The 15,665-nt window shown below is 40.0% G+C and overlaps 1 protein-coding gene across 1 annotated transcript in view; it reads right to left on the reverse strand.

Moving 5' to 3' along the window:
- KMT2C (lysine methyltransferase 2C) overlaps positions 1 to 15,665 on the reverse strand; it is a 301,079-nt gene that overhangs the window by 160,858 nt on the left and 124,556 nt on the right. Inside the window, exon 6 of the mRNA NM_170606.3 lies at positions 14,184 to 14,293. Within this exon, the coding sequence (NP_733751.2) occupies positions 14,184 to 14,293 (110 nt within the window). The remainder of the gene's footprint in view (positions 1 to 14,183; positions 14,294 to 15,665) is intronic.

Raw genomic sequence — 15,665 nt, forward strand, 5'->3', positions numbered from 1 at the left:
TCGGCTGGGCGCAGTGGCTCACGCCTGTAATCCCAGCACTTTGGGAGGCCGAGGCGGGCAGATCACGAGGTCAGGAGATCGAGACCATCCTAGCTAACACGGTGAAACCCCGTCTCTACTAAAAATACAAAAAAAATTAGCCGGGCATGGTGGCGGGTGCCTATAGTCCCAGCTACTCGGGAGGCTGAGGCAGGAGAATGGCGTGAACCCAGGAGACAGAGCTGGCAGTGAGCCGAGATCACGCCACTGCACTCCAGCTTGGGCAACAGAACGAGACTCCGTCTCAAAAAAAAAAAAAAAAAAAAAAAGATATGAACACTCAAGGTAATTCTAGCTAATAAAATGTTAAGAGGAATATGCCAGGGGCAGGGCGTGGTGGCTCACGCTTATAATCCTAGCACTTTGGGAGGCTGAGGCGGGCGGGTCACCTGAGGTCAGGAGTTCAAGACTAGCCTGGGCAACATGGCGAAACCCCATCCCATCCCTACTAAAAATACAAAAATTAACCGGGCGTGGTGGTGGGTGCCTATAATCCCAGCTACTCCAGAGGCTGAGGCAAGAGAATCACTTGAACCTGGGAGACAGAGGTTGCAGTGAGCCGAGATCGCGCCACTTCAATCCAGCCTGGGCGAAAGGCGAAACTCCATCTCAAAAAAAAAAAAAAGAGAGAGAGAGAGAGAGAGAAATATGCTAGGATGGGACAAGCATCTGGCAAGGATTTTTCCTTAATTAACATAATAATAAAAAGGTTCCTTTTTCCTTTCTGCCTCTGAATGCTATCCTGAGAGTACAATGCTTAGAGGTCCTGCCCACTATCTTTTGCTCATGAGAGGAACTGGATCAAGAAAGAGACCAATATGTTCTGGATGCACCAAGAAAAGATGTTAAGACCCTGACAACTTGTTATCATGAAGCTACTGAACTACCCATCACCCTAACTCCTAATTTTCTATTGTGAAATAATAAACTTCTTAGTTACTTGCATAATACTTCTAATTCTGACCAAGATGGAGTCACAGAGACCGGATTATCGGATTTACGCTCCTCCTGAAACAACCATAAAAAATGAAGACATGGCAGGGCATGGTGGCTCACACCTGTAATCCCAGCACTTTCAGAGGCTAAGACAGGTGCGTCACTTGAGGTCAGGAGTTTGAGACCAGCCTGACAAACATGGTGAAATCCCATCACCACTAAAAAGAAAGAAAGAAAGAAAAAGAAAGAAAGAAAGAAAGAAAGAAAGAAAGAAAGAAAGAAAGAAAGAAAGAAAGACAGAGAGAGAGAGAGAGAGAGAGAGAGAGAGAGAGAGAGAAAGAAAGAAAGACGTGAATATATGTGAACATATATATGCTATGTGAACATCAGGCAACAAAGGACTGTAGAGCTTTGAGAAATGAGAAACAAAAGAGGTGAGCCCTACATATGCCCCAGCACACAACGATAAGAGTTTCCAGGCCATGGCATAGAGAGTGGCAACTGAGGCAAATCTCAGCTGACTCCTGAGTTGGAAAGAGAAAGTTAAGAGCCAGGAGAGAAAAAAGCAGCAAGGAATAACTGCACAGAATGCTGAGAGGAGACAGTTGCATAGAAAAGAACCCCAGAGGTCTATAGAGATCTTCTCTCAAGCATTCACCAGATAACTGATCAGCATATGCATATGAGGAAACTATGAGAATCCAGAAAAAGAACCATCAGAAACAATGGGAGGGAACAGGGCCTGATACTCATACAAAGCCAGGAATAGTATCTGTTCCCACTAGCCAAACTGGGAAAACTATTAATTCATGGAACATTCAACAGAGTCCACAGAAAGTCTTGCCTCAGTGGTGAGGAATAATTAGTCCTGGACTAAGCACTCCTTCATATCTGTCTAATAAATCATAAAAACAAAACCCAAAAGAATGAAACGGTTTATAAGTAACTCAACTACATCTCAAAACAAAGCTCAAGAAGATTTATAGAATAAAGAAAATAGCCAGAACCCAAGGTAAATTTTACAACTAAATAAAGATTACCAGGCATAAAAAGCAGCAGACAATCATGATGCAAACTGAAAATAATCAATCAAAACTGACCCAGAACTTAAATAGATGTTAAAATTAGCAGAGGAGGACATTCAACTGTTTTTATACATGTATCCCATATAATCAAAAAGTTAAATAGAGACATGGGAGATAAACAAGAAAAGCCAAAATCAAACTTTCAAAGACAAAAACATTTGAGATGAAAATTACATTGGATGAACTAAAGCAGATTAGAAACTGCAGAAGAAAAGATTAGCAAACTTGAAGATACAAGAACAGACACTAGCTAAAGTACAAAAAGAAAAAAAAAATCTTAAAAAGTGATTTTTAAAAAGCATCAGTGAGCAGTCAGGCAACTTCAAATAGCCTAATAATATGCAGGTAACTGGAGTCCCCAAAGGAGAAAAAAGAGGAAGAGAAAAAAAATACTTGAAGAAACAACTGCTGAAAATGTTCTAGCCATAAAAAGACCTATTAACTCACGGATCCAAGAAACTCAGCAAACCCCAAGCACAAGAAACATGAAGAAAATTACATTAAGGGATAACATAATCAAATTGTTCAAAATCAGGGATATATTATTAATAGCAGCTGTATAAAAAGACATGTTACCTATAGAAGAACAAAGATAAGAACAACATCAGATTTCTTTTGAGAAACAATGCAAGTGAGAAGACAGCAGTACATCTCTAAAGTTCTAGAAGAAAAAAGGCCAACTAGAATTCCATGCCTGGCAAAAATATCTTTCAAAAATGAAGGTGAAATAAAGGCACACCAGAAACATAAATAATGAAATAATTCATCACCAGGAGACTTTCACTGCAAGAAATGTTAAAGGATATTCTCCAGAAACAAAATGATGTCAGATGAAAATCTGGATCAATACGAAGGAATAAAGAGCACCACAGTGGTAACTATATGAGCAAACATCTTTTAAATTTTTTATTATTTAAATCTCTAAGAGATATATGTTTAATAAAAGACAGCAAAATATTACAGAGTTTATAACATATATAAAAGTCAAATGCATGGCAGCAATAGCACAAAGTGCACGAGGGAGGAAAAGAAAGCAAATGAAGGAATGCTTTTATTATAGATGAAGTGTACAATATTACTTGAAGGTAGACCTCTCTAAATGTACACTATAATCTTAAAGCAACTACAAAAATAATTTTTAAAAACAGGTAAAAGTAATAAAAAGAGGCAAACTGGAATCATAATAAATAATGTAGGCTGGGCACGGTGGCTCACGCCTGTAATCCCAGCACTTTGGGAGGCCAAGGTAAGCGGATCACAAGGTCAGGAGATCGAGACCATCCTGGCCAACATGGTGAAACCCCGTCTCTACTAAAAATACAAAAATTAGCTGGGTGTGGTGGTGCACGTCTGTAATCCCAGCTACTCAGGAGACTGAGGCAGGAGAATCGCTTGAACCCAGGAGGCGGAGACTACAGTGAGCCGAGATAGCGCCACTGCACTCCAGCCTGGCAACAGAGCGAGACTCTATCTCAAAAAATAAATAAATAAATAAATAAATAAATAAATAAAGTAAAAGAATCCAAGAAGACCAGGTGCAATGGCTCACACCTGTAATCCCAGCACTCTGGGTGGCCAAGGCAGGAGACTCACTTGAGCTCAGGAGTATGAGACCAGCCTGGACAACATAGTGAGACCCCATATATAAAAAAATAAAACAAAGTAGCCAGGTGTGGTGGTGCACAACTGTGGTCTCCACTATTGGGAGGCTGAGGTAGATCACTTGAGCCTAGCAGGTCAAGGCTGCAGTAAGGTATGATCACACCACTGCACTCTAGCTTGGGTGACAGAGTAAGACCCCATCTTGGCAGGTGGGGGATGCAAGAAAAATGATGCAAGGAACAGATAGAGATAAATAGAAAACATATAAGAAGACAATCACATTAAATGTACATGGTCTAAATACCCCCAATTAAAAAGCAGAGGTTTTAGACCATATACATTTAATGTGATTGTCTTCTTATATGTTTTTATCAGAGAAATAAAACTATCGCCTTCAAGAAACACAAGTTAAATACAAAGATGCAAACAGGTTAAAATAAAAGAATGGAATAATATACACCATGCTTACGCTAGTCAAGAGAAAGCTAGAGTAGAAATACTAATATGAGGCAAAGCATATTTCAGAGTTAAACACAACATTTTTCTACTACTTGCAGTCAAAAGTATCATTAACAGTCTCTTTACTCTGCTCAAAGTTACAAAGTTCTTTTGTATAAACATTAGAACACTTATCACAGCCTGTCTATAATGGAGAATAATTCAATGTTATATACTATACAACACTCTTACTATAGTCCATTAGACAGAAATATGTAGCATTTGAGACACCTTCCAATTATAAAACTCTATGCAAACAAAAATTAACAAAGCAGATCTGAGACTATTACATTATCCTGTGAAGGAGGGTCTGTCTGTTTGCACAGTTGGTCCTAGGCTGGCTTCTGAGAACTTGAATTTCAAGAGGGTTCCCTAACTGGTAATCATGGTTTACTATATCTAGACTATGGAAATAATGTGGCTTATCCTGCTATTCTTTTTATGAGTCTGGAAATTTCACACATGCTAGGCAGAGAGTACACCTACATGACCAGCCTAGATAAAAACTGTGTTTCTTGGGCAGTCACATATGTTGTTGTATTTTCGTTAAGGGGGAAAGAAGGTAGTCTGTGTGATCCTCATGGAAGGCACAGCACATAAGGAAGCTGGTACATGGATTTTTCCAGACTCTGTCAGTGTCTTTTGCCATTGAGGTCTTTCTACTATATATCCATACTATGTTACAGTAATAAATCTTAGCCATTACAACCCTAAGCTGATCCCATGAGTCCTTCTAGCAAATCTCCAAACATGGAGGCAGTCTTGTGGACCCCTGACACAAATATATGGTTGTGATCTCTTAAGGTTTATCCTTCCTCTTAAACTATAAAGAGCTGGCCGGGCACAGTGGCTCACGCTTGTAATGCCAGCACTTTGGGAGGCTGAGGCGGGTGGATCACGAGGTCAAGAGATTGAGACCATCCTAGCCAACATGGCGAAACCCCGTCTCTACTAAAACTACAAAAAGTAGCTGGGCATGCTGGCACACATCTGTAGTCCCAGCTACTCGGGAGGCTGAGGCAGGAGAGTCGCTTGAACCAGGGAGGCAGAGGTTGCAGTAAGCCGAGATCGCGCCACTGCACTCCAGCCTGGTGACAGAGGGAAACTTCATCTCAAAAAAAAGAAAAAAACTATAAAGGGCTGGGCGCAGTGGCTCACGCCTATAATACTAGCACCTTGGCAGGCCCAGGTGGGAGAACTGCTTGGGCCCAGGAATTGAGACCAACCTGGAAAACAGAGCAAGACCCTGTCTCCTAAAAAAAAAAAAAAAAAGAAAAGTTGGCCGGGTGTGATGGATCACACCTGTAGTCCCAACACTTTGGGAGGCCGAAGTGGGCAAATCACAAGGTCAGGAGTTCGAGACCAGCCTGGCCCACACGGTGAAACTCCATCTCTACTAAAAAAAAAATACAAAATATTCGCTGGGCATGGTGGTGGGCACCTGTAATCCCAGCTACTTGGAAGGCTGAGGCAGGAGAATCACTTGAACCCGGGAGGCAGAGGTTGCAGTGAGCCGAGATCATGCCACTGCATTCCAGCCCGCTGACAGTGTGAGACTCCATCTCAAAAAAATAAAAAAGAAAAGAAAAGAAAAGTTAGCCAGGTGTGGTGGCATGCATTTGTGATCCCAGCTACTCTAAAGGCTGAGACGGGAGGACTGCTTGAGCCTAAGAAGTCAAGGTTGCAGTAAGCCATGATCGTGCCACTGCATTCCAGCTTAAACAACTGAGATGCTATCTCTTAAAAACAGAAGTAGAAGCAAACAACTATAGGGGAAAATGAGGGATACATACTTTAAGAATTTCTAAAAATTTACATGGAAAAACACTAGGATTCTATAGAAAATAAAACAGTATTAAATAACATTATTTATAAAATAGATACTAGCAAATTACCTTACGTAAAGATTCAAGTCAGTAACTTAAAGGATCTTACATAAAAGTACTTTCCATTGGTTGGAGGAGAGACTTTTACTATACACTGTTTTTCAACTTTTTTAGACAAATTACATTTAGAAGTTTAAATTTGCCTATCTACATTCTTAATGTGAATTGCCACCTTACTATAGGAAGGCTATTTTTGTTTCTGCAGTCTACAAAAAGAACAAAAATATTAAAAACGTACAACTCTTCTCACAGAACTAAGTTGGTTTTACACAAAGACATCTGGCACAAAATACAATGAAATTTCAATATAGAATTACAGCAGGGGATGAGGGTGGAGAAGGAAGAGATTACCAATTCTATGAGGGGAGACAACAGAAGTATTTTTTTAATGTCTTATTTTAAGAGTAAAACACCTGGTTTTTTTTGAGATGGAGTTTTAGGCAGGAGTGCAATAGAACGATCTTGGCTCACTGCAATCTCTGCCTCCAGGATTCAAGTGATTCTCCTGCCTCAGCCTCTCGAGTAGCTGGGATTACAGGCACACGTCACCATGCCAAGCTAATTTTTGTATTTTTAGTAGAGAGGGGGTTTCATCACATTGGCCAGGCTGGTTTCAAACTCCTGACCTCAGCCTCAGCCTCCCAAAGTGCTAGGATTACAGGCGTGAGCCACCATGCCCAGCCAACACTGAACATTTTATTCAGAAATAGTTAAGAAAACAGAAATATACATTGGGGGTTTATGGATTACTTCTTTTTGGGGGGCAATACTGGGAATAGAAGAGAAAGGAGCTTCCTTTCCCTTTCCTTCTTTCATTCATTCATTCATTTTGAGAAGAAGTCCTGCTCTGTTGCCCAGGATGGAGTGCAGTGGCGAAAACTCAGCTCACTACAACCTCCACCTCCTGGGTTCAAGAAATTCTCCTGCCTCAGCCTCCCAAGTAGCTGAGATTACAGGCACACACCACCACACACGGTTAATTTTTATATTTTTTTAGTAGAGACAGGGTTTTGCCATGTTGGTTAGGCTGGTCTCGAACTCCTGACCTCAGGTGATCCACCCGCCTCAGCCTCCCAAAGTGCTGGGATTACAGGCATGAGACGCCGCGCCTGGCCAAGAAAGGAACTTTAGATAAATAAAATGATTAAACATTTGTAGCATGTAGAATGAAAATATTCCCTCAGTAATACTCAAATTATCCAGATTTCCAAGATGTTGGTAGCACCCTGAGAGCTTCAAAAGGGAAATTAAAAGAAAAACGACGTTACCCTTCCTGAAACACAGATTCACTGTTTGCCATGTTCTTTTCTCTAGTAAAAAATGAATAAAGTTTCCCCTGGAAAAACTAAAAACAATCTGAGGTATGTTTCAGAGAAAACAAAATTGCTTGACAAAAATGCCATGTTAACAACCGAGGAAATTACTTTAAATATATTAATTTTAACACAGGAATAATATGTCAAACCAGGATTTCTCAACCTCAGCACTATCGGCATTTTAAGCTGTATAGTTTTGGTGTGGGAGGCTGTCCTGCATATTGCAGAATGTTTAGCGGCAGTCCTGGCCTCTACCCAAGAGGCCAGCCAGTAGGACCTACCTCCTCATTCAAGCTAATGCACTAAATTTTGCCCTTCATTGACAAATCCCATTAATGCATGTATTTATCCCATTAGTGACTCTCTTGTGTTCCAGATACTTTGTTAGGCACCAGAGAAAATATGATAAAGCAAAACAGCTATTTTCCTCACTCTCATGGTGCTTACAGCCATGGTGGGAAAAATCCATAGAAAAAGACTCACATACACAAATGCAGACAGAATAAAAAACTCACACAAACAAACGCTGCAGATGTTAAGTTACATAAAGGAGATATGCATGGCTGTGCATGGTGGCTCATGCCTGTAATCTTAGCACTTGGGGAGGCCAAGGCAGGCGGATCACCTGAGGCCAGGAGTTCAAGACCAGCCTGGCCAACATGGCGAAACCCTGTCTCTACTAAAAATACAAAAATTAGCCAGGCGTGGTGGTCCACGCCTATGATCTCAGCTACCTGGGAGACTGAGGTGGGAGGATGACTTGGGCCCAGGAAGCAGAAGGTGCAGTAAACTGAGATTGCGCCACTGCAATCTCAGCCTAGGAGACAGAGAGAGACTATGTCTCCAAAAACAAAAAAAAAGAGAGAGAAGACATACATATTCCACTGAGAATGTATAATAAAGCTGCATACTCAAACATTTCTTATTAAAAGATGTGCACAATCAAAAAATTTACAAAATACTGCAACCCCTCACCTGAGCTTTATAGTATCTCATTCCCTTCCATTTTCTTAGATTAAAAAGCCTAATTCTAACTTTGGTTTATTTTAATACCTAGTTTCTATGGCTCTCATAGGTTTAAAAAAACAGGTTCTCCCCAAAAGTAAAATGATCTAATTAGAAGTAGTACATGATTTCTGCAACCATTTTTAAATCTCAACCGAAATTATCAAAATTTAAGCAAATAAAATTTCACCCTCTCTAATAAAAATATTGAATGTTTAATAAATGGGCTTAAACCAGAGCTCTTTAGAATATTTTAAACATATCAGAAAATTCCATGTTCAAGTTTCTTTTAAGGTGACAAACATGAGAGTTTTTTGTTTTGTTTTTACAACCTTCATTATTTCTGACAATAAAATATCAATATAAATAGTTCAAAACATCTGTTTTCAAAATGTTCAACGCCCCAGGACATGTTTCTTTGAAAAGTCACTGCATTCTCAATGTTGAAATGTCATCTTTATCTTGAAGGGGCAGGTTAAGTGTTTGTTTTCTTTGAAAATAGAGCTAGGTATCAGAATATACTCAGCTACATAATAAAGGTCAGCAAATTTCATTTTTCATTTTTTATTTTAATAGAGACGAGATCTCACTATGTTGCTCAGGCTGGTCTCAAACTCCTGGGCTCAAGAAATCCTCCCATCTTGGCCTCCCAACATGCTAGAATTACAGGTGGGAGGCACTGCACCTAGCCAAGGTCAGCAAAATCGACCTTTTGGCAAAATAAAAACGTCTTCTAAGTTCAATAGCTATATCGCCCCTAGGGAAACTTTTGTGATAGCAGAAATTTTCCTTGGCTCCTCCTTCCCAATCATTTCTGTAGAACTGTAAAGATTTGCTCTATTTAGAGATTAAGTATATAAACTTTCATGTAATTAGCCATATTGATAACCTCCAGTAACACTTTTGGGTACTTAGAACTTATTTGCTGCCTATGAATGATTCCATGAATGATCTTCAGTGCTATTAATTAGTCTACAAATATTCACTGAGGAATAACCAAAACAGAAAAAAACCCCATCCGAATGGCACTAGTATACTAGTGAGAGGGAGATGAACAATAAGTAAGATTATTACGTGAATATACACTCTGTCAGAGGTGATAAGTACGAAAAAGAAAACAAAAAAGCAGATATTATGGGAAGGCATTTGAAATCTTTGACAGCAAGCCTAGCAAAGGCCTCACTGTAAAGTCACGCTTGAATAAATACATAAAGGATATGAGGGGGCAACACATGCATTATGAAAGGCCCTGAGGTGGATCTGCGTCTGCGTACTTGAGTAAGACCAATGAGGTCAGCATGGCTGAAGGAAGTAAATGAACAAACGGTTATAGTGAAAGATGTCTGAGAAGTATACGTGAGGTGTGGTGAAGATCATGTAGAGCCTTACAGGTTAGCAAGGAATCTTTTTTTTTTTTTTCTCAGAATAAAATGGGAAGTCACTGAAGAGTGTTAAGTAGAGCAGTGACATGACTGGACAATCTATTTACATCAGTATGGACTCGTGTACTTATTCTATGGATGAAAATGCAATATTATCATTATTTTTGTGGTTGCTAAAATTGGTCCAGTTCTTAGGAGCTCCTTCAGGTAGGTTCCCGTGCTTTGAACAGGTTTTCATCTTTTTAAGCACTTCATTACTTTCTGGCACCACAAGATGATCTAGGCTTACCTTGTATTTTCTCTGCACCAGTCCCGTAAGGAACTACTTCTCAAGGAGCCCTGGTTCCTTTCATTGAAGAGCAATGGTTGGAGACCAAGATCTAAGCACTAGGTATTCTCAATGCTACTGGGGTGTCATTGTTTCTATGCCCTCTCAGGGGATAGAGGTAGGAAATACACATATTCAAATTAACTCATACATATGCACACATCTATATTTCTGTATGTCTGTGTAAATATTAAAAAACATGAGTTTATTTTCATACTTCTGATCTCAACACTACAGCATGACTGTACAGTTCTTTTTGCCTCTAGTTTTATGTTATTTAATCAAGACACTATTTTCTACAGTTACTTAGGTGAGTTCTTTCCCTCCCTATCCTCTTTTATGTGAATTTTACTATTCCTTTTTGGGTTCTCCTGCATCTGGGTAGGTGGTAATTGCTTATTTGGTCTCCCACATCCTGGTTGGTGGCAATTGCATAGAAGCATTTAAAACATTCCTATGGTTCTAAGAATCAGAGTTATACTGACAAATATACTCTGAGAAGTGCCACTCACATTTCATCCATGCTACACAGATCTCCACTCCCTTCTTCTCCCTCCCACTCCCTACAGGTAACCAATCTCTAGTTTCTGATTTATCTGCATGGTACTCCATTATATGGCTATATGGATGTAACACAGTTTATTCAAACCTTCTCCTCTGTGTGGGCATTTAGTTTGTTTCCAATATTTCGCAAATTAAATAATACTATAATTAATAACATTAAGTAATACATAATTTGTATTGTTAGAGGCATATTCAGCATAGATTCCTAGAATAATTGAGAGGTAAATGCATACAGTTTGTTAGGTATCACCAAATTTCCCTCCAAAAGATGTGTACCAATTTGCATCTGCAGCAGCAAAGAATGAGAGTACCTGTTTCCCCACAGCCCTGTCAACAAATGTGTTGTTTTATGTTTGAATTTTTGCCAGTGAGACAAGTCTTCCTTTCTTGAGACAAAGTTCTAGCTAACTGGTCCATCTTGTGCCTATTTGATAATGAAGAATAATGAACAAAAGCCAGGCGTGGTGGCACATGCCTATAATCCCAGTACTTCGGGAGGATGAGGTGGGAGTATCGCTTAAGCTCAGGAGATAGAGACTAGCCTGGACAACACAGCAGAACCTAGCCTCTACAAAAAATTTAAAAACTAGTTAGGCGAGGTGGCGCATGCCTGTGGTCCCGGATATTCGGGAGGCTCGGGGGAGAACTGTTTGAGCCTGGGAAGCCAAGGGTGCCAATGAGCCGTGATCATGCCACTGCTCTCCAGCCTGGACAACAGGGTGAGACCCTGGAAATAAGGGAGGAAAGAAGAGGAAGGAAGGAAAGAAGAGGGAGGAAGGAAGGAAGGAAGGAAGGAAGGAAGGAAGGAAGGAAGGAAGGAAGGAAGGACGGTAGGAAGGAAGGAAGGAAGAAAGAAAGGAAGGAAGGAAGGAAGGAAGGAAGGAAGACGAAGGACAGAAGAGGAAGGAAAGAGGGAGGGAGGGAGGGAGGGAAGGAGAGAGGGAGAGAGGGAGGGAAGGAGGGAGGAAGGGAGGGGAGAAGGAAGAAGGACAAAACAAACAACCGTACAAATGGCGACACAAAACTGACACTCCTGTGAGTTTTGAGTGATTCAATCTAGTGGAGAGGTAAAGATTTGACAGAGTTACCACTAGATCCCTTCTAATCCCCACATGGTCTACCAACTCCAAGTACTCAATCTGCATTTAACTTGCTTAGGCCCACCAAATTCTAATGCCTAAACAAAGTCGGAAGGGATGCAATGTCTCCTAAGGGCTTGTGATTCCTCTGCCAGTGGTAGGACACAGTCTTCATCTCTAAATACCATTTAATTATTAATCAGTAAGAACAAAAATGGTAACTTCTGTCCAAAAGGGACAGAGTGAGGCAAGTTTTCTTTTAACTACCTTCCTAGCAAACAGAGGTAGGAAATACATGGACACATACAAACTCATGCAAATACATACACCTACATTTCTGTACTAAGTATCAAACACTACGAGTTTATATTGATTCCTCTGGTTCTAATCCACCACCAAAAAGCTCATTTAGCCTTTGTTACCTTCCCTGTAATACTTTTCACTGTCACAAAATAGCCCAAAATAAAAATTACTTTTATGAAGTAATTCATAAAACAGATGGTTTTCACTGAAATATCATTGTCTTAATCCAGTCTCTAAGAATGTTCAGGCTGGGGAAAATACTATTATGCATTAAACTGTTCAAAATTTGATGACATATACACTTTAATGTAAAATTTCCAAAACAAGCACTCTGACTTCACTACTCTTGAGGTGATGCTTACTCATCTATGTAAATCAGTTCATTTTGATAATCCAAGTAAAGCTAATGTTCTAATGATTGAATTTTTACTTGAATCTAAGTCCTTGTCTCAACTATACTTTTGAAAGCTTTGCCTATGTTCTATCTATTAAAGCCCATATAGTTTCTAAGGTCAAAATTTCCAGTTTTAATATTCCATTGGAAGGGCTGTCTCACTTCTCCCAAATATACTTGTTAAAAACCAAAGGGGCCAGGCACAGTGGCTTACACCTGTAATCCCAGCACGTCAGGAGGCCAAGGCAGGCAGATCACCTGAGGTCAGGAGTTCAAGATCAGGCTGGCCAACGTAGTGAAACCACATCTCTACTAAATATACAAAAATTAGCCGGTGTGGTGGCACGAGCCTATAATCCAATCTACTCAGGAGGCTGAGGCGGCAGAATCACTTGAACCCAGGAAGCAGAGGTTGCAGTGAGCTGAGATCATGCCACCACACTCCAGCCTGCACAACACAGCAAAACTCCTCTCAAAAAAAAAAAAAAAAAAAAAAAAAAAGGAAGGCCAGGCACAGTAGCTCACAACTAAACTCCCAGCACTTTGAGAGGCCAAGAAGAGAAGAGAGGATCCCTTGGGTCCAGGAGTTTGAGACCAGCCTGGGCAACATGGTGAGACCCCATCTCTACATTTTAAGAAAAAAGAAAAAGAAAAGCAATTTGTAGACAGCAAAGCAGTATCACTTCACAGAGTTTGCTGTCTTTATAGATGGGAGGAAGCCGTTTCATTTGCATTTGTTTCAAAATTACATGAAAATCACAGGAAAAGCTCTGAAAAATGGCAGACTATGCACATATTACTTTGATACAATGCAATAAAGATGAACTGAACTGCTGACCGAACTAAAAAAATTTTTTTAATCACTTTTTAAAATATCAAACAGAGGTAGTCCACATTATGGACTAATGACCTTCAAATCTTTTCAAATATTTTCTTTCATTTTAAATCATTATCAAATAGTTTTGTCTTAAAAAGTTACCACATGAATGTATAAGCATAGTGCAAAATTTTCATTTCTAAAATTTTAATTTCTAATTTAAATGTAAACTACTTATTTTAAAAGATTCAAGTTCACTGAGTAACATACTACATTCCAATGGCTTACACAAATTAATTTTTTTTTTTTTTTTTTTTTGAGGCAGGGTCTCACTCCAACGCCCAGGCTGGAGTATGGAGTGCAGTGGTGCAATCATGGCTCACTGCAACCTCAATCTACTGGACTCAAGCAATCTTCCCACCTCAGCACCCCAAGTTGCTGGGTCTACACATGTGCACCAGCATGCCCGGCTAATTTTTGCATAAAATAACTTTTTTTTTTTTTTTTTTTTTTTTTTTAATTAAACGGAGTCTCTCTCTGTCACCCAGGTTGGAGTGCAATGGCGCAATCTTGGCTACGGGCAACCTCCACCTCCCAGATTCAAGCAAATTCTCCTGCCTCAGTGTCCCAAGTAGCTGGGATTACAGGCGACTGCCACCATGCCCAGCTAATTTTTGTATTTTTGGTAGAGAAGGGGTTTTACCATGTTGGCCAGGCTAGTCTCAAACTCCTGACATCAAGTGATCCACCCACCTCGGCCTCCCAAAGTGCTGGGATTACAGGTGTGAGCCACCATACCTGGCCTAGAATTTCTCTTAATAAAAATTAATAATTTCCTATTTTGAGAGCTTTTACACTACAGCAATCATTTAATAATCCTTTCAAGTGAACTTCTGATTAAAGTGAATGTTATAAAACTATGATTTAAATATTTGCTTTGTCTACTTACTTCTGTGCTCCCTGAGACAACAGCTTTGTCCACGTTCACTAACAATGGTTCTTCCATCTGGCATACTCCTAGTGACCACTCCACACAACGGTGATGAGCCCAACAAGTGCCTAAAATGGGAAAAATGAAAAGGAGCAAATGAGCAAACATTAAAAAAATTAAAGCTAATAAATAAAGACATAAAACTTCAAAATCAACTCTAATATGTAAATATACAATGGCATCCTGTATTTGTGATAGCAGTAAAGTGGCCCTTCTAAAAATGTGGACCAACCACTGAGTGCCAGTATCAATATCAAACTGAGAAATTCTTAGAAATACAGAATCTGTCTGGGTGCAGTGGCTCACTCCTGTAATCTCAGCACTTTGGGAGGCCAACGCTGGTGGATCTTTTGAGGCTGGGAACTTGAGACCAGCCTGGCTAACATGGCAAAACCCTGTCTCTACAAATTAGCTGGGCGTGGTGGTGCACGCCTGTAATTCCAGCTACTCAGGAGGCTGAGGCATGAGAATCGCTTGAACCCAGGGGACAGAGGTTGCAGTGAGCTGAGATCGCACCACTGCACTCCAGCCTATGCAACAGAGCAAGACTCCGTCTCAAAATAAAAACCAAAAAAATGCAGAAGCGCAGATCACAAGTGAGATCTACTGAATCAAAAACTCGTGCAGTGGGGCCCAGCAATCTGTGTTTGGTTCTGTTTTTTTTTGTTGTTGTTGTTTTGTTTTGGTTTTGAGACAGGGTCTCACTTTTTTTGTTGCCCAGGCTGAAGTTCAGTGGCATGAACACAGCTCACTGCAGCCTCAACCTCCAGGGTTCAAGCAATCCTCCTGTCTCAGCCTTGCCAAATAGCTGGGACTACAGGCACATGCCACCACACTCCGGGAATTTTTTTCATTTTTTGTAGAGACAGGGTTTCACCATGTTGCCCAGTCTGGTCTTGAACTCCTGAGTTCAAGCGATCCACCTACCTCAGCCTGCCAAAGTGCTGGGATTACGGGCTGTGAGCCACCGTGCCCTGCCAGCAATCTGTGATTTAACAAGCCGTCTGGTTATTATGATGCACACACAAGTTTAAGAATAACTGAATTAGTGATTATTTCTTCAACAAACAAAATTAGTTTTTAGTCATTTTATTTAAATATTATATATGTATTTGATATGTTTCTGGTATCTTTATATAAAGCAAACAAAGTATTACTTAGTACTTTGTTGAGGTGATATACAAAGGAAATGTATAGAAAATAAACTACACATACACCTCTACTTCCCTCATCCCACAGTGAGAGCACGTATCAATGATTATTAACACTTCAGCCTTTAAATTATCCATCACATAACACTTGAACCACTATCAGTCAATCTGCAGTTCAACTACAGAATGAGATGTACTTTAAATTCCAGTAGCACCATATCATGAGTGCTGAGTTACAATACTGTTATAATAAGATAATCTACCCGGCTAAGACCTATTTTCATTCATG

Source organism: Homo sapiens, chromosome 7, assembly GCF_000001405.40.
Source record: "Homo sapiens chromosome 7, GRCh38.p14 Primary Assembly".
Lineage (NCBI taxonomy): Eukaryota > Metazoa > Chordata > Mammalia > Primates > Hominidae > Homo > Homo sapiens.